Source organism: Homo sapiens, chromosome 12, assembly GCF_000001405.40.
Source record: "Homo sapiens chromosome 12, GRCh38.p14 Primary Assembly".
NCBI lineage: Eukaryota > Metazoa > Chordata > Mammalia > Primates > Hominidae > Homo > Homo sapiens.
Window position 1 is genome coordinate 111,268,380 of NC_000012.12, and position 24,367 is coordinate 111,292,746.

Genomic DNA, 24,367 nt, shown 5'->3' on the forward strand with positions numbered 1-24,367 from the left:
TGCCCAGCTCAAAGACACTTTGAATAAAGTCACATTCACAGGTTCCAGGCGTTAGGACACAGAGGTATCCTTTTGGGGCGGACGTTCAGCCAGTACACATGTGCCTGCTGCCTGGTCCCATGCTCCACCCCATCCCGCGCTCACAGGAACAGTCCAGCCACGTGAGTTTTCCCAGTGATGAGAGTGGAAGGAATGGCAAGAGCTGATGGCACAGCTGCAGGCTGTGGTCCCTGCGAGGACATGGCGCTATGGCACGAGGCCGAGACAGCCCATGTGTCTGCAGCTGGGGTCATTATCACCCTCACTGCCGGCCATAACGTACTCATGGCCAAGAGGCCCAGTGGCACCATTCCTTGCCGCCTTTTTGCTTATAATGTCTCCGCTCTCATCAGTGATATCTAGAAAAAGACACCCTCTTATTTCCCACCCTTTTCGATCCTTTGGGTCCCACTGTGTCAGCGACAAATGACACTGGAGGATGACCCTGTACAGACCCCAGAGATGCCTCCCAGGGGTCCCCAGGCAGCGCTCTCCCACGGCACCCCGTAGTACCTCAGTTGTAACACGAGGGGGCAGCGCTGAGATATGCGTGTGCTTTCAGGCTCAAAGACCCAGATTCAAATCCTGTTTGTGTCACTTACTGCGTGACTGCAGAGGAATTAATTCACCTTCCTGAGCTGCAGTCTCCTCTTCCATAAATTGAGAATAATATTAGAACCTGCCTCGTGCTGTTATTTGGAGGCATCAAGGTTCACAGTATACAGCAGGTGCTTACTAAGTGTTAACTATTCTCCTTATCATATATGTGTCCAGCTTTCCTAGGAGATGTGAAATGCACCAGGCCTCGGACTAAATCATACTAAATTCGTATACCCAGAACCTGGTACACAGTAGGCACCTAATAATTGTTGAATATTAGAAATAAGACTCAGCAGCAAAAACGGGAGGAAAGGTTATTGGAGCAAAAAGATACTTCATCAGTGAGACCCCCCTTCCATGCACATCTTGTGTTGTTTACTCAGATAGCATTTATTGAGTGCCTACTGTGTGCCCGGCACTTGCTGGACACTGGGAACACAGCTGTGACCCTACAAACACAGACATGGGCCCAGCCCTCAGAAGCTTACCTTTGAGTGGCAGAAGTGACCAGATCATCGGTCACATAGCCTGTCATCACAGTCACAGGGGGACACCAGCATGTCTAGTGCTTGGGGGTACAGACAGGCAGGAAGACAAAGGGAAACAGAAGGGTCTTACGGCCCCCCACTTGGAAACGAGCCCTCATTTTGGGGGGTGTTCTTATGGGACCCTCATCTTTCTGGAGAGAAGACTGTTAAAACAGTCACAGGCCAGGGGCCACTCAAGGTCCCAAGATTGCTGTGGAACCTTCTGGAAGGTCCATATACCCTCTCTCCTCTTTCCCCAAAGCCCGGGAGCAGGAAGGTCATTCCAAGCCCAGTGCTGACTCCAGGAGTCTGATTTCCCAACTCTCCTCCCCAGAAATGCAGGGGCGGGAGAGCTGTCCCCAGCTGTCACCGACTTAGAGAACAAGGAGCCTTAACTGATGGAGACGTACCATACGAACAGCCCCTTTAGGGCCTCTAATTCATTTTCGAGACATTTAAGCATAACAAAATGTTTTAATGATTTCTTAGGGGAATTAGGAAGACATATTTTTGTTCTCATTAAATTTTATCCTCAGACACAAGAACCAAATGTCAAATGTGTGTTGGGCGCTTCCAGCTTCCCCGCTCACTGCCGGCCCCCCAGCTCCAACCCCCTCCATAAAAATAACACTCCTGGAAAATTCGCTGGGACGCGCACACTCCTGTTTTTATATTTCTTGACAGGCAAATTATTTGTCGAAATACTCCTCCCCGCCACCCGAAGCCACACAAGTCCTGATTCAACATTTTTGTTTTGAGTGACTGCTGCCAACACAGATCTTTGGCAGAGAATACGACAGAGCCTGATGGCTCAGCAAGTATTTTGATAAGTGTGCAGCCTGGATGTCTGTAATTACGAAAGAAAACCGTAAATCTTTTGGATATTGTTCACACAGATGTGGCGTGAAGTGAGAAAAAAAAAGCAGTAAAACGTGTTAAAAGCATAATTAATGTCATTGTTGTGGGTGATGATGTGATTTAAACCTCTCTGACTTCTGTATTGGTGATGGCTGATTCCTTTATCGCACTCGTAGAGTCACTAGGTACGGACCCAAGCTTCAGAAGGCTAACTTGTTAACTGAGTGATTAGTTAAAAGGAAAAAAAAAAAAAAAACAAGGAACGAGGAAATGAGAGGGCAGGCAGATGAACATTGCTGAGGAGATAAGAGACAGGTGAGTGCCCCAAAATGTTGTTTTCTACTGTGCTTTGGTTTTTACAAATCTGATGCAGATTTGCAATTCCTGGCAGACATTTCTCACCTTGCTCCTTCTCTTGGGGGGGAGGCTGATCAGGAAGGTGCTCAGTGCCCAGGCTATAGAGGTTGACACACCTGGGTGGAACTCTCAGTTTGGTGTTTTGTGCTGTGTGACCTTGGCCAGGGGCTTTAACCTCTCTGAGCTCTGGTTTCTGTGTCTTTAGAAGAGGGATAGTAATAGAACCTACTCAGGGGTGGACGTGAGGATTCGCTACGCTGTACATGAAAGCATTCCGCAGGGCTGAGTAATCAGCAGCCCATTGACATCAGGGTATAACAGTTATAGGAGTGACAAGCGTCTGCTATTGATTCTACGAGGTTCGGTCTGTTGTCAGGGACATTGGATAAGCAGTGGTGCAGGCAACAGGGTTCCTGAGCCTATAGAATAGGAAAATGCTCTACAACGTTTAAAATTTTTAAATTTGTCTCCTCGATTATAAAAGTAGCATATGCATGCTGTCAACTTCAGAAAATAGAGAGAAACAGAAAGAGGGAAAACGACCAGCTAGAAAAGCATTTTGTTGTTTTTCTTTTCCGTGATTTTTCCCTGTGTACTTTTTCAAAACAGTTGCTGATTCTACATGTACCGTTTTGAATTGTTTCCTTTATCTGACATGAAGCACTCATATTTCCCTGTGTGATTACAGATCCCAAGTAACTTTGATTCATTGTACAAGCCTAACAATCCCTTGTATAGCTGTATTGTAATTTACCTAACCCCTCTCCAACTCTGGACAGTTAAGGTGCTTGGGAACACATCCCCTATTGGTACTGTGCTGTACCAAGAAGAAAATTTGGGAAGGAAAAGTACATTGTAGCCTTGTATTGACCACAAACCCCAGGATCAGTGACCAGAATAAGAATGTTTTTCTCCTTGCTGATTTTATATTGCAGTCCTTTACTTACTAGTTCACTAAATATCTTTTCATATGTTATAAAGCATTCATATTTATACTTTTAGAAATCTCTGGTTTATGTCTCCTTAGCCCAGAGAGTGGATTTTTTCTACCAGAGAGTAGATTATTTTCTTATTGATTTGTAGACACTCTTTGTATATGGGGGATATTAACCTTTGTCCAGGTATACATGTTTCATATATTCTCCCCTGGTTTGCCTTTTGTTTCTCAACTTAGTGTGTAATGTCTCTTGTCTATTGTATGTAGCAGGTATTCAAAAAAATATTTGCAGAAAGCAAGAAATCTTAGCAAATCTTTGCTTTGTAGCTTCTGAATATCCGGTCCTGTTTTTAAAAATCTTTCTCGCCTCAAGGGTATAAGGAGTTTTTTTAGTACTTTTGTGATCTTAATTTTTAAACATTTACATTTGAACCAGCTGAAATATAATAGATATTGATAGAAGTAGCAGGGGAGGTGAAGCATTTAGCTTTGTTTTTGTCCCAAATAACTCGTTTCAGTGCCATCTAGTGGATAAGCCACCTGCACAGCTACAGGAAATAGAGATTTTCTACGATTAGAAAGTGTTGTCTGTGCTAACCTTCCCTCCTTCCCTCCTCCTCTCCCTCCTCCATGCCCACGCTTCTGCTCAGTTAGTCCCATAATGGTCAGTGGAACACTGAAGGTTAGCATAAAACAGTATTTCACCCGTTAAAAAAGGAAAAACTTAACAATGTCAATTTTCCTGAAGATGACAGTTAACTTTATTATTATTATTATTATTTTCTGAGATGTAGTCTCACTCTGTCACACAGGCTGGAGTGCAGTGGTGCAATCTCAGCTCACTGCAACCTCCGCCTCTAGGGTTCAAGCAATTCTCATGCCTCAGCCTCCCGAGTAGCTGGGATTACAGGCACATGCCACTACACCCAGCTAATTTTGTATTTTTAGTAGAGACAAGGTTTCACCATGTTGGTCAGGCTGGTATCGAACTCCCGACTTCAGGTGATCCACCTGCCTCGGCCTCCCAAAGTGTTGGGATTACAGATGTGAGCCACCACACCCAGGTGACAGCTAACTTTAGAAGGCAGTGTCGCACCATTTCCTGCCACACCTCTGCCCATGCCGTTTCCTCAGCCAGGAGCACCCTTTCCCCATGACCCCCTGGCTAAACTTTGCTCCTCCCAGCAGCTCAGGGTTGGAGAGCGGACTGAATGAAAGCATCCAGCCGGGTGCTGCTGCCTGGGAGGTGTTCAGTAAAGGCCAGTCCCTTTCAGAAGGGAGGACAGGCATTCGAGCCGTGGCGTCTCATTAGCTTATGCTCTGAGTGCTTGCTATGTGCCTAGCCCTGTGGGAACTCAAGCTCAAGTCCAGGCCTGCCCTTGGAGACTCTCGGGTTCAGCAAGGACAACATGACCCAAAGACAGACAACCAGAATACACAACAGAAAGCAGGCTTCAAGGAAGGATGGCTGGCAGAGGCCTCAGAGAGGGAGGCCTTTGGACCTGGTTTTAAAGGTTGAAGTGCCACCATGTGGAGGTCATTTCTGGGGTACTTTCTGTGTGTCAGGCAGTGTGTTCGGCCCTTACAGATACAAATTCACTGATTCCACACACACCCATACCCTGGGAGGTAGGTTCCATCATCCTTCCTCACTGGGAAGCTGAAGAAGTACAGGCTCAGATAATTCAAGCCACTTGCCCAAGGTCACACAGCAGAGAAGTGACGGAGCCTGAATCTAGACCCGCCCCGACCCAGCTCCTACCCACTACCCCAGTTGCAAGAGGAATTTAAAAATCCAAGGAGCTTGGACAAAACCACTGGAGATTTGAGCTCTAAAAAGAGTGAAAAACAGTTAAAGGGTCTTTGCTGCCAGTAGATTGAAAAGTTCCAGGCTGGAAGGATGAAGCCTTTGCTGAAATGCAGATGTGTGCTCGAGGAAGAACAAGTGGAACTTTCATTCTGGGGAGACAGTCACACAGCTCCCAACCTGGCAAGTGGAGGAAGAAAGGAGCAAGACTCCAGGTTGAAGAACCTCCCTGCAGAGCCAGGCCAATCCTGTGCTGCCATTTTGCTTCCCACATCACACTTGACTTCTCCGAGCCTCAGTTTCCCCAATGTAAAATGTGGATAATGACCTCCCCTCATTATAAGGGCCATTGGATGGGTTCAGTGAGCAACAGAGAACACTAAACATGGTGCCCAGCAGTCATTGCCCCATGCAATTCATTCAGTAAATATTGAGTGCCTACTGTTTGCCAGGCACTCTGTCAGCAACAGGGGCACAATGTTGAGCAAAACAGACACCACCCCTGCCCTCCTGGAACTTTCTGTACAGCTCAGTATATAAGAACTTGATTTTTTGTTGTTGTTTTTGGGGGTTTTTTTGTTGGGTGTTTTTTGTTTTTTATATTTTTAGTAGAGACGGGATTTCACCATAGGCCAGGCTGGCCTTGAACTGCTGACCTCAGATGATCTACCCACCTCGGCCTCCCAAAGTGCTGAGATTACAGGCATGAGCTACCGCGCCTGGTGAAGAACTTTATTTTTATTGTAAGGCATGTGGGTTTGAGTCCTGGCTGTGCTATTCCCTGGCTGGGTGGCCTTGAGTAACTGGCTCAGCCAACCTCTCTGAGCAGCTGTTTCCTCCTTTGGAAAGCAGACTTACCTCCCAGTGCCACTGGGAGGGCTGAGTAAGGTGAGGACTGTAAAGTCCTTAGCTGGGTGTCTGGCACATAGTAAATGCTCAGTAAACAGTGGCTGCTGCTGTTGGTGCTGGTGGTGGTGGTATTATTATTACCATCAGCACCCAGTGCCAAGAAAGAAGACCCTCATTCCCAGCCCTCTGTCCCTGTCCAAGCCAGGAGGAACCCCCCGCCAGCCCCACTGCCAACTGCCCCAAGAAAGGAGTGGGTAGACACATGGCTCACAGCTGCATATAAAGGCTTGGCACCCCATCTGCTATTGAAAAGTTTAGATTAAAGGATCAAAGTTAGTCTCGCTGCCACCATCAATAGCCTGAGCCTCCCACCCCCGCAGGCGCCCGGAGCCTGGGCCCAGATGGGAGAAGGCTTCTGTCTCGAAGATATTTTGGAGGGGTGCACGCATACTTCTGCATAAATGTGTTTCTAAACAGCCTCTCGGACAGCCTTTCCGGCTCTGTGTTTCCTAAAAAAGCTCCAAATGCCACTTTCCTTCAGATGGACATAGTGGGAGGATAGAGACAGCTCTAGATTCCCCAACCCCCTCCATGATTCAAAAAAAAAAAACAAAAAAACAAAAAAAAACCACCAATAGCATCAGCTAGTGGTGAAAGATGGAATAGGCGAAGTTGTACCCACCTCCCTGACAGTGCCTTTAGAAAGCCTGGTGTGGTCTTCAGATATTATCAGTCCTTTGACTGTGTTCTCTATGGGTTTGGATCCCATGTAACCAAATGAATTAGCCATTTTACTAAGTAGTTTGTGCCCCAGAGCAGGTTGATGTGTGTCGGACAAAGGCGGGTACACTTCCCCACGGTGTCCCCCATCCCTGCACGCCCATCAGGACCTGCCATCTCTGATGGCTCATAGTGGATCCAAGTCTGCCACTCATCAGCTCATCAGAAGGGTCTGTTGTATTTAAACACTTTAGATTTGGGGTCTGTACATCCAGGTTGGATCTGAGGCTGTTTGATCATCGTGGCCACTGCCCTGGTCTGTCTATTGACCATCTGTGTATTGTGGGAGTGAGTAGGGAAATGAAGTCCCGCTCACACCCCTGCGTGGGGCTGGCAGCTCTGGGCAGCCGCATGTGTCGGCTGGAAGGCTTCCGGGAGAAGTGCTGAGCCCAACAGAAACCTGCATCGCTGGCTCCAGGCAAGGAGCTGCACGGATGCCCTGTCACTTCTCCTGACACTAGGATACCAGGCTTGCCAGATGCTGGAGTGGGGGCATGATTTTAGAGGTCGGGGGCTTGGCAGCACCTAGTATTTCCCCAAGTGCGGAGTCCACATGATACTGGAGACAGCCTGGGTGTACCCGGACCCAAGACTGAAACTTTGAACACATTGCAGGATGTGCGGGTGCCACCTTTCTGCTCCCCTCTGAGTAAAGCCTCAGCCAGGTACTGGAGCATCTTCAACACCTCCACGCCACCAGCTCTCCCCTTTGAACCTCAGGAGAGGCGGCCCAGGCTCAAGGTCTTGGGCAGGCCACAGGGTCTAACGAAAATTCAGATTCAGTAACATCCATTTTCTGTTTTGTTTTGTTTTTCTCCTTGCCTTTATTTTTATGGTTGAAGCACCTTCTACTTATGATACAAGATCCCGATTTTCTATTTATGAAAGTGAGATAAAACATTACTTTAAAATATATATATTTTTAAAAAGTGAGTCAGCCCGGGCACACTAGCTCATGCCTGTAATCAAAGCACTTTGGAAGGCTGAGGCGGGAGGATTGCTTGAGTCCAGGAGTTTGAGACCAGCCTGGGCAACACAGCAAGACTCTGTCTCTACAAAAAATTTTAAAAATAGCTGGGCATGGTGACGCGTGCCTGTAGTCCTAGCTACTTGGGGAGGCTGAGGTGGGAGGATCACATGAGCCCAAGGGGTCGAGGCTGCAGTGAGCTGCCAGGATTGCACCACTGTACTCCAGCCTGGATGACAGTGTGAAAATGCTGTCTCAAAATAAAAATAAATAAAAAGTGAGTCACATAGGGCAGATGTCAAGTTAATCATCTTTCGGAGGCATATGGACACAGCAGAAGTTATAAAGGGAATACACCAGAGTCTGGCATTTGGGTCGCATTGGCTTGGTGGAAAGGCCTGGGTTCAAATCCACCTCTGACTTTTTCTTGCCTAGTGACCTTGAGCAAGTGGGTTCCCTCGGCTAGGCCTCAGTGTTCTCATCTGGAAAAGGGGGGTGATAGTGATAGCTCACGTAGTTGTTTCCTTTTTGTTTGTTTGTTTGTTTGTTTTGTTTTGTTTTGTTTTGTTTTGAGACGGAGCCTCACTCTGTTGCCCAGGCTGGAGTGCAGTGGCACCATCTCGGCTCACTGCAACCTCCTGGGTTCAGGCGATTCTTCTGCCTCAGCCTCCCGAGTAGCTGGGACTACAGGCGCGAGCCACCATGCCCGGCTAATTTTTGTATTTTTAGTAGAGACGGGGTGTCACCATATTGGCTAGGCTAGTCTCGAACTCCTAGACCTCGTGATCTGCCCGCCTTGGCCTCCCAAAGTGCTGGGATTACAGGCGTGAGCCACCGCACCCGGCCAGTTGTTTCCATATTTTAAGTGAGATATAGAGATATGCAAAGTGCTGGCACTTGTTGGAGGTGCGGTCAAGAAATTCCAGTTCCTCTGAGCTCTTGGCTCAGGATATCAGGTGGGGGTCTCATCTGCCCCCTGCCCTACCCAACCTTGTGGATGTGGGGGCCCCATCTGCCCCAGGATGAATGGTTGCTGGAGTTTGAGGGATGAAGCCCAGAAACTCACATATGGAGGGCCGCAGCCCACTCTGAACCCAGCTGCCACCCTCGGCCATAGCACCCCGCCCTCCCAGCCTGCGCAGGGAGGGGAAAGGAGATTGGCACTGGGCGTCCCCTGGGCCAGCCCCACATCCCCATCTGTGAAATGGGTTGGTCGTTATGAAGATGGAGCAAAGTTGTATTTCTGGGACGGTAACCCCAGGGGAGGTTAGTAGGACGGTCAGCTGCCATTTCCTTATCTGATGCAAGCCGTTTCTCCTGGTATTTCCTGTGTCTAGTATACTCCCCCGCGACCCCCCTGCTAGCTGCCTCATTAGGGCTCCGCGGAGACACCACTCCCCTCACCAGGCTGCCCATTTAGCGCCACCCAGCCCACCCTCTCCCCCAGCCCTGCTTCATTTTGCTTCTGAGCCCATCTCACTCCAGTTGCCTCACCCATCCTTTGTCCATCATTCCCTCTAGAGTGTCAGCCCCAGGAGGGCAGGAATTTTCTATCATTTCCTGCTGGACCTCCACGGCCCAGAGCTTTCCCTGACACACAGCAGGCACTCGGGAAATATTTGGCAACTGAAGAAATGCTGTCAACACGTAGTGGACTGGTGGCTAAATGACGACTGCATTAGGGACTCTTAGTCACCTGTCACGGCTGTAACAAATACCATGAGCTTAGAGGCTTAAAACAACACACGTTTATGATCTCACCGTTCTGCAGAACAGAAGTCCAAGATGGGTCTCACTGGGCAACAATCAAAGCATTCGCAGGGCCGGGTTGTTTCTGAAAGCAGGAGGCTGCAGGGGAGAAGTCATTTCCTTGTCTTTTCCACCTTCTCGGGCTGGGGCTGCCTATGTTCCTTGGCTCATGGCCTCTTCTTCCATCTTCAAAGCCAGCCGGGCAGCCTCTTCAGTCAATCTCTGACTGTGATCCCCTTCCATCTGCAACCTTCAGTCCCTGTTCCATGTAACATAACACTCACGGGCAGGACGTGGTGGCTCACACCTGTAATCCCAGAACTTTGGGAGGCTGAGGTGGGAGGATCACCTGAGCCCAGGAGTTTGAGACCAGCCTGGGCAACATAGTAAGACCCCATCTCTACAAAAATTAAAAAATTATCTGGACGTGATGGCATGTGCCTGTGGCCCCCAGCTACTCCAGAGGCTGAGACAGAAGGATTGATCGCTTGAGCCCAGGAAGTCGAGGCTGCAGTGAGCCGTGATTGTGCCACTGCACTGTGGCCTGGGCGACAGAGCAAGACCCTGTCTCTAAAAAGAACAACAAAAAACACTCACAGGTTCTGAGGGTCAAGATGTCTTTGAGGAGCCATTATTCTGCCTGCCACAGAGATGCCCCCATGGAAAACTCTCAAACTCTGTGGCGCCCTACCCTCTCACCCAGAGCTCTAATAATTTCATCACTTATCACACATTTCAAACAACCCACGTTAATTGAGCACCTACTATGTGAAGAGCCAGAGCAGGACCCAGGGAAGGAAGGGAAGACTCGGGAATGAAAAACAAGATTCCCTTGGTGTTCCATGGCTGTCAGGTTCTCTGAGAAACGTTTTCCAAACATTTTAAAGATTTTTTGTCATTTCTCTCTCTTTCAATTTGTGTTTGTAAGAGCAGCCAGTGACATTTAGCTGATGCATCGAATAATACCATTGGACAAAGTAAACGGGAGGCCCTCAGGTTTGCCAAGCTGCCCGGCAGAGCATTCTCCTCCATAGAAGTTGGCAGAATCCTGTAATTGTCTGGATGTTAGTAATTTTTTCCTCCCTACCCCAGCTCCCAGCAAGGTAGCTCAGGGCTCCATGAATTCCTGCCAGATAGGGAAGGTGGGAAGAAATGAGTTCCCTGTACAATGTAAAATCTGGGAACACAGCACTGTGCGCTGGGGGAGGAAACAAGGAGTGGAAAATACCCAGGGAAGTAAATGATCATCGTAGCTGTGTACTTTCTAGAGCAGCCAACTGAACCCACAGCCCAGTTCCTCAGGAGTCGGAGAGAATGAGGAGGCAGGAGGACCAGTGCCTAGGAACTGTCAGGTCCCCTTATGGCATGGGCTTGTCTCCCTGAAAGGCAAATGAAATGGGTATAGCAGGAGAGAAGTAGGTTAGACTTGAGTGAGGACTTCCTTCCTATGAGACTTGGAGCCTTGGCAGTTCCTCGGTCCTGCCTGTCTCACAGTTTGTATTGAGTCCATTGCCACATGTTATGGTTTGAATTGTGTCCTCCAGAAAGATATGTTGAAGTCCTAACCACCACTACCTCTAAATGTGGCCTCATTTGGAAAAAGCATCTTTGCAGGATATAATCAAGGTAAGATTAGGTCATTAGAGTGGCCTCTAATCCAGTATGACTGATGTCCTCAGAAGAAGAGGAGAGGCCAGGTGTGGTGGCTCATGCCTAAAATCCCAGCACTTTGGGAGGCCAAGATGGAAGGATTGCTGGAACCCAGGAGTTTGGCACCACAGTGAGCTGTGATCATGGCACTGCCCTCCAGTCTGGGCAACAGAGCAAGACCCCATCTCAAAAATAAACAAGGAGCTGGGCTCGGTGGCTCATGCCTGTAATCCCAGCACTTTGGAAGGCCAAGGCCAGCAGATCGCAAGGTCAAGAGATCGAGACCATCCTGGCCAACATGGTGAAACCCCTTCTCTATTAAAGATACAAAAATTAGCTGGGTGTGGTGGCACATGCCTTTAGTCCCAGCTACTCGGGAGGCTGAGGCAGGAGAATCACTTGAACCCGGGAAGTGGAGGTTGCAGTGAGCCGAGATTGCGCCACTGCACTCCAGCCTGGCGAAAGAGCGAGACTCCGTCTCAAAAATAAACAAACAAACAAGGACCAGGCGCAGTGGCTCGTGCCTATAATCCCAGCACTTTGGGAGGCTGAGGTGGATGGATCACTTGAAGTCAGGAGTTCAAGACCAGCCTGACGAACATGGCGAAACCCCATCTCTACTAAAAATAAAATACAAAAACTAGCTGGGCATCGTGGCTTACGCCTGTAATCTCAGCTACTTGGGAGTCTGAGGCAGGAGAATCGCTTGAACCCGGGAGACGGAGGTTGCAGTGAGCCAAGATCGCGCTACCCTACTCCAGCCTGGGTGACAGAGCAAGACTCTGTCTCAAATAAATAAATAAATAAGAATCAGGGAGAGACAGAAGGTCACATGACAACGAAGGCTGAGATCGAAGTCATGCAGCTGCAAGCCAAGGAAAGCCAGATTGCCAGTGACACCAGAAGCTGGGGGAAAGGCCCAGGTCTCCCCTAGAGCCTTGGAGAGAGCATGGCCCTACTGACACCTGGATTTTGGACCTCCAGCCTCCAAAACACAGCAGAGCAGATTCCTCTGGCTGCTGTGCCCCATTACCACAAACTGGGTGGTTTAAAGCAACAAATGTTTTCTTTCAGCTGCGGAATCCAGAAGCCCCACATCAAGATGTCGGCAGAGTTAGTTCCTTCTGGAGACTCTGCAGGGGTGTCACACGCCTCTCTCCCAGCTTCTGGGGCTGCCAGCAATCCTTGGCACTCCTCGGCTTCTAGATGTGTCATTTCCATCTCAGCGTCCATCTTCACATGGCCTCCTTCCCTGTGTGGCTCTGTGCATCCTCTCTTCTTCTCCTGAGGACTCCAATCATTGCATTAGAATCCAACCTACTCCAATATGATCTCATCTTGACTTGATGACATCTGCAAAGACCCTATTTCCAAATAGGGTCACATTCTGATGTTCCAAATTCACATGAACTTGGGGAAACACTGTTCAGCTCAGTGCACCAGGTCCCACCAACATTTCCTGTGTAACTCTTGAATCTGAGTGCTGCTCCCACTTCTGCCACCACTGTGACCACAGCCATCATCATGGCTGCCAGGACTCTTGCAGTAGCCGCCTATCTGACGCCCTCTACACGCCACTTTTCACAGAGCAGCCAGATGAGCCTTTGAAAAAGGCAAATTAGAATGTGTCCTCCCACTGCCCTTAGGATAAATCCCAACCCTCATCTACATTATCAACAGAGGGGCTTTGGCATCTACGTGCCACCTGTCCCCCCCATCTCCCCCAACTCCACTCCAGCCACTGGGACCTGGTGTCTTGTCCTCAGATGCCACTGAGCTTTGCACAGATTCCTTCCAGCCACCAGCCTTTTGCACAAGCGGTGCCTCCCACCTAGACCTCTCTCCCACAGATCTTCCCTGCTTCTCAGCAGCACCCCTAGTTCCATGTCACTGAGGTCTTTCCCAATCTCCTCCCTAAGGTGAGTCGAGATCCCCCCAGGGTCGGTGTTGATGGAAACATTCTCTATGGTCCCACTGAGCACCTTTGCAAAGGAGCAGCATCTGTCTCCCCCACTGGGAAGTCGGCTGCACAAAGACAAGGGTCTCATTTATCTCACTCACCATCATGCCTCCCACAGACGCTCAATAAACGGGCTGAGTGAAGCAGGCGCAAGGACTCAGGTGCCCTGAGGATCTCTGCCAGCTTCAGACTCATCACTGCAGAAATGCACCAGCACCAGTCACAGATTTCATATCCACAGACTCCTAGGGGGAGGGTCTGTGTTTGTCCTTGTTTTACAGATGGGGAAACTGAGGCTCTGAGAAGCAAGTGATTTGGGTTCTCCAGGAGGCAGATGCCAAGACAGCTTTAGATATGCAAGGGATTTATTAGGGGAAGGCCCGTGAAGGAAAGAGGGGAGAGAGAAGGAGGAGGCGGGATGCTGGTCTGATGCCTGAGAAAGAAGGGAAGGAGGAGGGAGGATTAGCCAGGGTGAGCCTCGGACTGCAGCACGGCTCTGAGAAAATCTTGGCCAGGGTGGTGGGGAGTTTCAGAGCAAGGTGTATTGGTCAGCTCCAGCTACCATTAAAAACATACCACAGGCCGGGTGTGGTGGCTCACACCTGTAATCCCAGCGCTTTGGGAGGCTGAGGCAGGTGGATCACGAGGTCAGGAGATGGAGACCATCCTGGCTAACACGGTGAAACCCCGTCTCTACTAAAAATACAAAAAAATTAGCTGGGCGAGGTGGTGGGCGCCTGTAGCCCCAGCTACTTGGGAGGCTGAGGCAGGAGAATGGTGTGAACCTGGGAGGCAGAGCTTGCAGTGAGCCAAGATCGTGCCACTGCACTCCAGCCTGGGCGACAGAGCGAAACCCCATCTCAAAAAAAAAAAAAAAATACCACAGGCCGTGCGCCTTGGCTCACGCCTGTAATCCCAGCACTTTGGGAAGCCAAGGCAGGCAGATTGCCTGAGGTCAGGAGTTTGAGACCAGCCTGACCAATATGGTGAAACCCCGTCTCTCCTAAAAATACAAAATTAGTCAGGTGTGGTGGCCTGCGCCTGTAGTCCCAGCTACTCAGGAGGCTGGGGCAGGAGAATCACTTGAACCCAAGAGGCGTAGGTTGCAGTGAGCTGAGATCACACCATTACACTCCAGCCTGGGCAACAAGCGTGAAACTCCATCTAAAAAAAAAAAAAAAAAAAAAAAATCACACAGAACAGGAGGCTTAAACGCAAGAAATTTACTTCCCCACGGTGGGGTAGGCTGGAAGTCCAAGATCAAGGTGCCTTCAGGGTTGGTTTCCAGTAGAACCTCCCTTCCTGGCTTGCAGACAGCTGCCTTCTTACTGTATCCTCACACAGCCTTCCCTCTATTGGTGCACAGAAAAAGGAATGGTCAATGGGTCATTTAAATTAATGTCCGCACCTCCCCCCACCAAAGGCTGTTCAGAAAGTCAGGGATGCTTCTGACAATCTAGAGGATACCATAGGTCGGGTGTGGTGGCTCACGTCTGTAATCCCAGCACTTTGGAAGGCCGAGACAGGCGGATCACTTGAGGTCAGGAGTTAGACACCAGCCTGGCCAACATGGTGAAACCCTGTCTCTACTAAAAATACAAAAAAAAAATTAGCCAGGTGTGGTGGCGCATGCCTGTAATCTCATCTACTCTGGAGGCTGAGGTGGGAGAATCACTTGAACCCAGGAGGCAGAGGTTGCAGTGAGCCAAGATCGCGCCACTGTACTCCAGCCTGGGTGATGGAGTGAGACTCTTGTCTTAAAAAAAAAAAACCTATCCCCAAATGTAGTCACATGGGGGGCAGGTTAGGCCTTCAGGATGTGGGTCTGCAGCAGACAGGGTCACAGTTCAGTCCATGGTACAACCGTCTGTTCCAGCATCGGGCAGGACTACCCCCGCCGTGCTCAGCCATTGGAAGATGCCACACCTGGAAGGTGTCACCAATGCCTCGAGGGAGGTTTTCTCTTGAAGGGAGCTCTGAGTGGCACCTTCCACAGCTGCCACGAGTCATAATAATAAGAGCAGCACTCATTTGGAGTCCACAGATGACGGGCACTGAAGCGGGAGCTCGGCGTGCTCAGATAACCCCAGCATAACCCCATGCCGTAGGTCCTTTTGTTATCTCCCTTTTACTAATGGGGAAACTGAGGCTTGGGGACGCTAAGTGACTTTCCCTGGTGATGTTACAGCCAGGGTTTGACCTCCAGCCTCCCAGCCTGGCTTCATTTCCCTTTCTCTAAGCGTGTCTTTGGGGATTTGGGGAAGTCAGTGTTCCCCAATTTCTGTATTTTTAGTAGAGAGGGGTTTCACCATGTTGGTCAGGCTGGTCTCAAACTCCTGACTTCAGACAGTCTGCCCACCTCAGCCTCCTAAAGTGCTGGGATTACAGGCGTGAGCCATGGTGCCCAGCCTGTGGTATGTTTTTAATGGCAGCTGGAGCTGACCAATACACCATGCTCTGAAACTCCCCACCAGCCTGGCCGAGACTTTGTCAGAGTCGTGCTGCAGTCCGAGGCTCATCCTGTCCAATCCTCCCTCCTCCTTCCCTCCTTTCTCAGGCATCAGACCAGCACCCTGCCTCCTCTCTCTCCTTCCCCTCTTTCTTTTGTGGGCCTTTCCCTACTAAATCCCTTGCGTATCTCTTGCATCAAGTTCAACCCTGAGGGTGTCTCATAATCACCCTCCCTGATCATCCCAGCTGTAAGGGATAGACCCAGGGCCAAAGCACCCGCCTCCATGGGATCCTGCCTCTATCTGATGACACCTAATGTTGAGTGCATGCCTAGGATATATTGTAATGGGCATTTGGACAGGGGAACCAGAGAATTCAGTGCATTGTCCAGGGTCACACAGCAGGCCAGCAGCAGGACCGAGGGCAGCCATACGACTTGTGCTCCTGGTCTAATAGTAAGAAGCCAGGGCCCTCATGCTCCGTCTCAAAGCAGCCTGGTCCAGGAGACAAGGCCGGGCAGGAGCACAGCAAAGCTTGGACACGAGCATTGGTCCCTTCTGGCCTCCCTGGGAATCAGCCCATTGTTCTTTACTGAGCACTTAGGTGTACCAGGCACTGTGTTAACTGCTTTACAAAACTTAGGTTTCACATCTTCATAGTAACCTTGGTAGATGCAGTTAGTGTCACCATTTTACAGAAGGGAAAACTGAAGCTTAAAGGGCTGAAATGCTTACTTAAGACCGCACAATGAGTAAGTGGCAGAGATGGGATTCTAACCCAGATGGCTCTGCCTACAGAGCCGCACTTTGAGCTCACCTCCCGCTTCTTGCTCTCGCTCTAATCAAACCTCTGCTCAAGTGACGCTTTCACCTCGTGCAGCTCGGAAGGGCCTCTGGTCTCTTCGCCAACCTCTCATTGTCTCAGTTAGTGAGCAGATGTTTATGAGGCACCTACTGTGTGTCAGCAAACAAGACAAACCTTAGAGCCTGTTTCCTCCTCTTTCCTTCCTGGAGGCGCACTGCAGGAGTCCACCCCTCCTGGTTGCTTCCTGGCCAGGCTGCCCTGCACCAGCCCTGTCTAAGCCACAGGGTTTCCTTTCTCCCCCAAACCTGTGACGACGTCCGGGAAAGCCCAGGGTACACCTGGCCCTGCACCCTCCTGAGCATTCAGTCCTCAGTCTCTTTATTATTAGGCCCAATTTTTACCCAGTCTTGAAATGAACCTGTATCTTAGGTCTCCTTTGGCCCAAAATCACTCATCACATGTATCCATCAGGGTTCTTTAGTGTCATGCAGCAGAAGCCAGCTCTGCAAAACTATCAGGCACGAAAGGAATTTATTAGAAGGCAGAAGGTGGGGGAGAATGGTGAGACCACCTGGGTCAGATGGGACCAGAGCAGTGAGTAGCTGGGCCGGCTGAGGGATTCATTCAAATTCCCAGGGCAGAGCATCTGACCCTCTGCCAGGGGAAGGCGGGGCATCTTAATTGACAGCTCCATTGTATCTAAGAGAGAATGGAAATCACCCATTAGTTAGAAGGTCTAACGGCCGAGCCATGAACCACCCCACCTGCTCCCTGAAAGGACTAAGATTGACACATGTGAGAATCTTTAGGACTGAGTCCCTGAGATGTTTGACAAATTCCTCAGGGGACTCTGATGTGCCCCTGCTTAGAGCCAGCAAGTTCTCTCAAGCACCCCATTCTGCCAAGCAGGGCCAGTGTCCCTGGATGGCAGCCCAGCCCTCCCTGCCTCACCCTGGGGAAATGACTTCACCCCAGTGCCTCCATTTTTCCGTGTGGGAAATCGGGATCCAGCAGTGCCTGCCTCCGTGTTGTGGTGAAGACTGAATGAATTCTAATCCGTGGAAAGGGCCTTGGCCGTTAGGACTCCGTTGCAGCCCGACTTTGGCCAAGGCATCTGGATGTCACCGCCACCTTCTCCCTCAAGTTGGGGAATCCGGGGCAGCACAGTGTGAGAGGAAGAGGTCTAAGGGCCCATCTCAGCCTGCCACCAACTCTCCAGCGGATTTCAGGGATAATATCAGACCCCACTGTGTCCTGGGGTGGAAGGGATGTTGGCCAGATTGATCTGATAGATCCCTCCCCAGTGTGACTTTCTAAGCTTGAATCTTTGGGTCTCAGAGTAGAGTTAGCTCAAAGCAGGATTATTAGACTCTGGGTCTCTGAGGGACTGATGCATACAGGTGAAGCCATACCCTGTCCCGAGTTCCACAGAGCATATCTGCCCAGACAGCCAGCGCCCAGAATGCCAGCACCTGGTGTGCTGCCTTGTCTAGGGGTGATGAAAGCACACAACGCCTAGCAAGGCCCACCCTGTGCCTGGCACTATGCAGTTCTCTGCACACCTTCTCTCCCCCAGTCCTTAACCACCCTACACATGCACCCCCATTTTACAGATGAGGAAACAGAGGCTCCAAGAGGTTAGCTTGGCCAGTTGCAGTAAGAGCTGACACCCGATCCCTAAATCACTACTGCCTCTCTCAATATCTTTTTTAAATCTTCCCAATAAGAATTCCTGGGAAGGCCAGGTGTGGTGGCTCACACCTGTAATCCTAGCAAGCCTAGGAAGCCAAGGCAGGAGGATCACTTTAGGCAGGGGTTTGAGACCAGTCTGGGCAACATAGCAAGACCCTATCTCTACAAAAATTAAAAAATTAGTGGCCAGGCGCAGTGGCTCATACCTGTAATTCTAGCGCATTGGGAGGCCAAGGCAGGTGGATCACCTGAGATTGGGAGTTTGAGACCAGCCTGGCCAACATGATGAAACCCCATCTCTACTGAAGATACAAAAATTAGCCTGGCATGGTGGTAGCTGTAGTCCCAGCTACTCGGGAGGCTAAGGCAGGAGAATCGCTTGAACCCAGGAGGCAGAGGTTGCAGTGAGCCAAGATCGAGCCTTGGCACTCCAGCCTGGGCAACAGAGCAAGACCTTGTCTCTAAATAATAACAATAATAATAATTCCTGGGAATTAGGAAGTTTCCAGGTTATAAGTGGAGAAACTGAGGCTCCAGGCCCCATGGGATCTGGACCCTGAGCTGGACTTTGGATTCTGTGAGCTTAATGACTGTTTTACACTGTACCTGCAAAGGAAGGCAAAAAGACAGAGCTTTGAAATCTATGGACCTGAATCAAAGGTCCAGCCAGCCCCTGTTCCCACCAGCCTCTCTGGGGAGCCACCTGAGGCCAGCCTCCCCAAGACAGAGCACACAGCCAGCAAGGAATGACCCAGAGGGCCTCGGAGTAGAACGAAATGTCAATACCTAATCCCTGCGAACAGGGTGAGTGACAGACATCCTTTATCACCAAGTATAGTCGTTTGGCTCAATGGGCTCATGGCCAGCAGGGCCCCTGGGCCACGAGCCGGATCCTCCCCCTCCTTGGAACCGGAGCAAGCCCTCCGTGGCCCTGCGCAGTCCGCGTGGCACCGCACCGTCTTGTGTTTGTCTAACTTCCCTGACCCCGGCGAGTGCTCGTTGCCTTTTTTCCTCCTGTCTCAAAAACCGGGACACAATAGGAAGCGTTTCCTTGAACTTATTAAAAAATCCAGACTTGTAAATTAATTTGTTCGTGTTGTACAAAGGCAGTGCAGATGGACTCATTAGCATGCACACAACAAATAATTATAGATGAATTTTTAGCTGGCCTGCCTAATGCGCTTGCTGGGTTAATTATGTCAATGTATAATTACATCAGCCCGGGGAGACATAATGGCATACCCTGCTGCGCAGGCCCTGCCTAATGACGGGGCGTGGGGGCTGCCGGCAGATGAAAGCCACCGCCGCCTTCCCGCGCACCTGCTTACCTCGGCATGGACGCCCATTGTCCAAGCCCCTGCCACCTAAACAAACAGGCCACAGCAGAGTAAAACAGGGAAGCCGCCTTGTTCCAGCCGGACCTGAAGGCCCCATGTACAGGCATTGCCCCGTTTCTTCCATCAGCAGATCTTTGTTGGGTTGGACTGTGGGTCATACTTCATGGTAGGTAGAAGAATTCCAGCAGGGTAGGGGTGGAAGGGAGTGCAAAAACATGCAGTCTGGCCTTGCCTTGTCGAGTTTGCAGTCCAGTGGGTGTTAATTAGGTGAACCTGCAAATAAACATGCATTAGAACTGCAGTGGGTACCGTGAAGGAAAGGTGTAGGCAGTTCATATCAGAGGACAGGTTAGTCGAGGAGGGCTTCCTGGAAGAAGTGACATTTGAGTTGTACTATGGAAGGCAAGTAAGTGTTTACTAGCTGAAAGGGGTAGGTCAGGGGAGGGTGTTCCTGGCAAAGGTTCTCGTGCAAAGGGTCTGAGGTGGGAAGGTAAGAAGAAGCCAATGTGACTGGAGCTCAGAAAGAAGTGAGGGCTTCTGCTTACTCTGAGCTAACCAAGTGTCTGGTGCCATGTGGAGCATTTTACATGCATCCTTACCACAGCCCCATGAGGTTGCTACATTTATGGTGAGGCACAGAGAGGTAGAGTCACTTGCCAAAGTCATACAGCAATCCCAAGAAGCAAGTATAGATTAGCAGACTCCAGGGATACCTAACCTTGAGGTCCACACTCTTGATCCCTCTGCTTCCCAGCAGAGAGCAAGGGCCAAGCAGATACTGGCAGAAAAATCTGGGGGAGCGACCAGGCACGATAACTCATGCCTATAATCCCAGCATTTTGGGAGGCCAAAGCAGGCAGATCACCTGAGGTCAGGAGTTCGAGACCAGCCTGACCAACATGGTGAAACCCCAACTCTATTAAAAATACAGAAATTTGGCCGGGCGCAGTAGCTCATGCCTGTAATCCCAGCACTTTCGGAGGCCAAGGTGGGTGGATCACCTGAGGTCAGGAGTTCAAGACCAGCTTGGCCAACATGGTGAAACCCCATCTCTACCAAAAATATAAAAATTAGCTGGGTGTGATGGCGCGCATCTGTAATCTCAGCTACTCAGTAGGCTGAGGCAGGAATGTTGCTTGAACTCAGGAGGCGGAGGTTACAGTGAGCCGAGATCGTCTCACTGCACTCCGGCCTGGGCAACAGCACAAAAAAAATAAATAAATACAAAAATTACCCAGGCGTGGTCGCACACACCTGGAATCCCAGCTACTCGGGAGGCTGAGTCAGGAACATAGCTTGAACATGGGAGGCAGAGATTGCAATGAGCTGAGATCACGCCACTGCACTCCAGCCTGGGCAACAGAGCCAGATTCTGTCTCAAAAAAAGAAAAAAGGAAAAAAGAAAATTCTGGGGGAGAGACCAGGAAGAGACAGGGCTTCCATGCATTAGAAAGAACTGAACCAGACTAGGCCCCTTGGTCTATATCCAGGACCCTGGCTTTCCTGGGTGCCATGGACACCATCTGCACCTGCTGGGGCTGTCAAGAGCAGGCACTAGGACAGGAGGCCTTTGTGATATCAAAGCAAGAGACCCAGATTCGAGTCTCACATCTACCTTTCAGCAAGTCACCTGGTTTCTCTGAGCCTCAGTTTCCTCATCTGTGAAAATGCCTTGGATCCAAGCCAGCCTCCAGGGGATGCCGTGAGGATGCTGGGAAGCCAGTCCTGTGCATGGGTTTTGTAGCCTGGAAGGTGCCAACACACCTCTGAGATGATCCACATTTCTTAGTCCCTGCCCTAGATGGGGACTTGGGGAAAGTGTCCTGGAAGAAGTGAGGCAGGACTCCAGAGTGTAAGGAAGCGGATGTGCTTGCGGTGTAAAGGGCTGGGAGAGGGAACCGAATTCCAGGCAGAAGGACCTGCACGTTCCTCACCTTTGAGTGATTGGGGAATTGGTGGACATCTTACATCTAGATGTGTGTTTTGCCCCCGAAAAAGTCCTTAACCAACAACGTGTGTCACAAATGATGGTGTCACCAGGTCCACCGAGAAGCACACCAAGGATTACATGGGAGAGGATATTGGTGCAAAATAGGAATGCAGGGAGCAGGAAGGCTGGGAGAGCTCGCGGAGAGGTGGGGCAGCTGCCTGGGAGCATCTAGACCCCCACATAGCCTACAGAAGTGCTGGCCGAGGCCATGGGGGAGTCATCACTCCAAAGTCAGTCCTCAGAGCAGTCCCACCTTGGTATCCCCGCTTCACACAGGCATGGTTGGCAGAGGCGGTGGGAAGATTGGCCTCAGAGCGATGGATCTCAGAGCAGCAGCCAGATCCTTGCTCAGTGCCCCTCGCTGTAGTTGGAGGTCTGCAAGGCACAGTCTTAAAGTGCCACAGATAGCATCATAAAATCAAGAAAATGCAATGAAGCCAGGGCAACATGGTGAGACTTGTCTCTACAAGAAAATACAAAAATTAGCTGGGCATGGTGGTGCACACCCTTGATCCCAGCTACTCGGGAGGCTGAGGCAGGATCACTTGAACAGAATCTCACTCTGTTGCTGAGGCTGGGGTACAGTGATGCAATCTCCACTCTCTGCAGCCTCGACCTCCCAGGCTCAAGTGATCCTCCCACCTCAGCCTTCTAAGTAACTGGGACTACAGGCATGTGCCACCATGCCCAGCTAATTTTATTTTATTTTTTTGAGATGGAGCCTTACTCTGTCCCCCAGGCTGGAGTGCAGTGGCATCATCTCAGCTCACTGCAACCTCTGCCTCCCTGGTTCAAGTGATTCTCCTGCCTCAGCCTCCCAAGTAGCTGGGATTACAGGTGCCCACCACCACACCCAGCTAATTTTTATATTTTTAGTAGCAACGGGGTTTCACCATATTGGTCAGGTGGTCTCAAACTCCTGACCTCAGGTGATCCACCTGCCACAGCCTCCCAAAGTACTGAGATTACAGGCATAAGCCACTGCGCCCAGACTATTTTTTAAATCTTTTTGCAGAGATGAGATCTTGCCATGCTGCACAGGCTGGTCTTGAACTCCTGGGCTCAAGTGATCCTCCCACCTTGGCCTCCCAAATTGCTGGGATTACAGGCGTTAGCCACTGCACTCAGCCAACCTTTTTTTTTTTTTGAGATGGAGTCTTGCTCTATCGCCCAGGCTGGAGTGCAGTGGCGTGATCTCAGCTCACTGCAATCTCCACCTCCTGGGTTCAAGCGAGTCTCCTGCTTCAGCCTCCCGAATAGCTGGGACTACAAGCATGCACCACCACACCCGGCTAATTTTTTTGTATTTTTAGCAGAGACGGGGTTTCACCATGTTGGTCAGGCTGGTCTTGAACTCCTGACCTCAAATGATCCGCCTACCTTAGCCTCCCAAAGTGCTGGGATTACAGGCATGAGCCACCGCACCCGGCCTGGCCAACTATTATTATTGTTAGTATTATTCCCAGCTGGGCAGGATACCCATACCCTGGAGATAGCAGGTGCTCCCCTGAACAAGTGCCTGGACAAGCCTGCTCCCTCGTAGAGCAGAAAGTCCATGCTACTTCCTGTAAGCCAGCGGGGTGACTCCGATGGCTCCTGTGGAACCTGCCAGGCCCTGCAGCCACAGCCCGGGTGTCCCTATCCATCAGGCCCTCACTATCCCTGTCTTTCTCTCCCTGCACAGACCCCGTGCCTGTGTTTGAGGCGGCACGCAGCCTAGACGACAGACTGCAGCCCCCCAGCTTTGACCCCAGTGGGCAGCCCCGGCGAGACCTCCACACTTCGTGGAAGAGGAACCCCGAGCTCCTCAGCCCCAAAGGTACTGATAAGGCCTTCTCGGAGCGTCTACAATAAACAACCAGGCTGCAGATCTTCAGAGCCAAACTCAGCCAGCCTTGTTGCGGGGTGGCTGGGGCAGGGAACTGGGCAGGTGAAGGCCTTTGGTAACCATCTAGTTCCTGGGTATATATTGATCCTGGTGCTGGAAATGCAGTTAGGAGTAAAAGAGAAAAATCCTGCCCTTGTGGTGATGATCTTCTAGAAGGGGAGACTGTCAGTGAACAAATTAGTAAGACTCATAGTGTGGCAGGTGGAGAGAAAAGTCAACAGACCCGTTCAGGTTCCCACCCTCCATGGCCAGCCCCAAAGCACCCTCTGCCCCAGTGACGAATTCAGCACCAAAAGCACCCACCAAGCCCTGGGATGAGCCCTTGCCGAGCTGGACATGACGCAGGTGAGGCCAGTGATGGCTGAGTGTCCACATGGGCGCCCTCCACAGTAGGGAGGGGAAAATGTCTGGCAGTCCTTCAGTAAGTAAAACACAGGCTCACCACATGACCCAGCAGCGCCACGGCTAGGTGTGGACCCCAGAGAATTGAAAACACAGGCTCAAAACAGTGTACACAAATGTACATGGCAGCGTTACTCATAACAGCAAAAGCAGAAACAACTCAAGTGGCTTTCAACAGCTGAATGGACAAATAAAATATCCATAGAATGGAATATTACTCGGCCATGAAAAGGAAAGAAGCACTGATCCATGCTACAACATGGATGAACTTTGAAAACATGGTGCTGGCCAGGTGCAGTGGCTCATGCCTGTAATCCCAGCACTTTGGGAGGCCAAGGCGGGTGGATCACAAGGTCAGGAGTTCCAGACCAGCCTGACCAATATGGTGAAACCCTGTCTCTACTAAAAATACAAAAATTCACCGGGTTTGGTGGCTCACACCTGTAATCCCAACTACTTGGGAGGCTTAGGCAGGAGAATTGCCTGAACCTGGGAGGTGGAGGTTGCAGTGAGCCAAGATCATGCCCCTGCACTCCAGCCTGGGTGACAGAGCAAGACTCCATCTCAAAAAATAAATAAAAAGAAAACATGGTGCTGAGTGGAAAATGCCAGACAGGAAAGGCCACGTAATGTACGATTCTGTTGGTGTGAAATGTCAAAACAGGCAAATTGGTAGAGACAGAAAGGAGATTGGTCGTTGCCTAGGGCTGCAGGAAGGGGAAT

General features: G+C 50.4%; 1 protein-coding gene and 1 long non-coding RNA gene across 8 annotated transcripts in view; one reads left to right on the plus strand and one right to left on the minus strand.

Moving 5' to 3' along the window:
* CUX2 (cut like homeobox 2) overlaps positions 1–24,367 on the plus strand; it is a 316,390-nt gene that overhangs the window by 234,215 nt on the left and 57,808 nt on the right. For 6 of the 7 annotated variants that reach the window (XM_017019081.2, NM_015267.4, XM_011538069.3 and 3 more), the window contains one exon: positions 23,039–23,173. The exons of the other annotated variant lie outside the window; for it this stretch is intronic. In XM_017019081.2, the coding sequence (XP_016874570.1) occupies positions 23,039–23,173 (135 nt within the window). The remainder of the gene's footprint in view (positions 1–23,038; positions 23,174–24,367) is intronic. 7 annotated transcript variants of the gene reach the window in all.
* Positions 16,850–24,367, minus strand: part of LOC105369983 (uncharacterized) — a 34,934-nt gene continuing 27,416 nt past the window's right edge. The window contains exons 3-4 of the long non-coding RNA XR_945341.2: positions 19,356–19,637; positions 16,850–17,034 (exon numbers count right to left, since the gene is read on the minus strand). This is a non-coding gene — a long non-coding RNA (uncharacterized LOC105369983). The remainder of the gene's footprint in view (positions 17,035–19,355; positions 19,638–24,367) is intronic.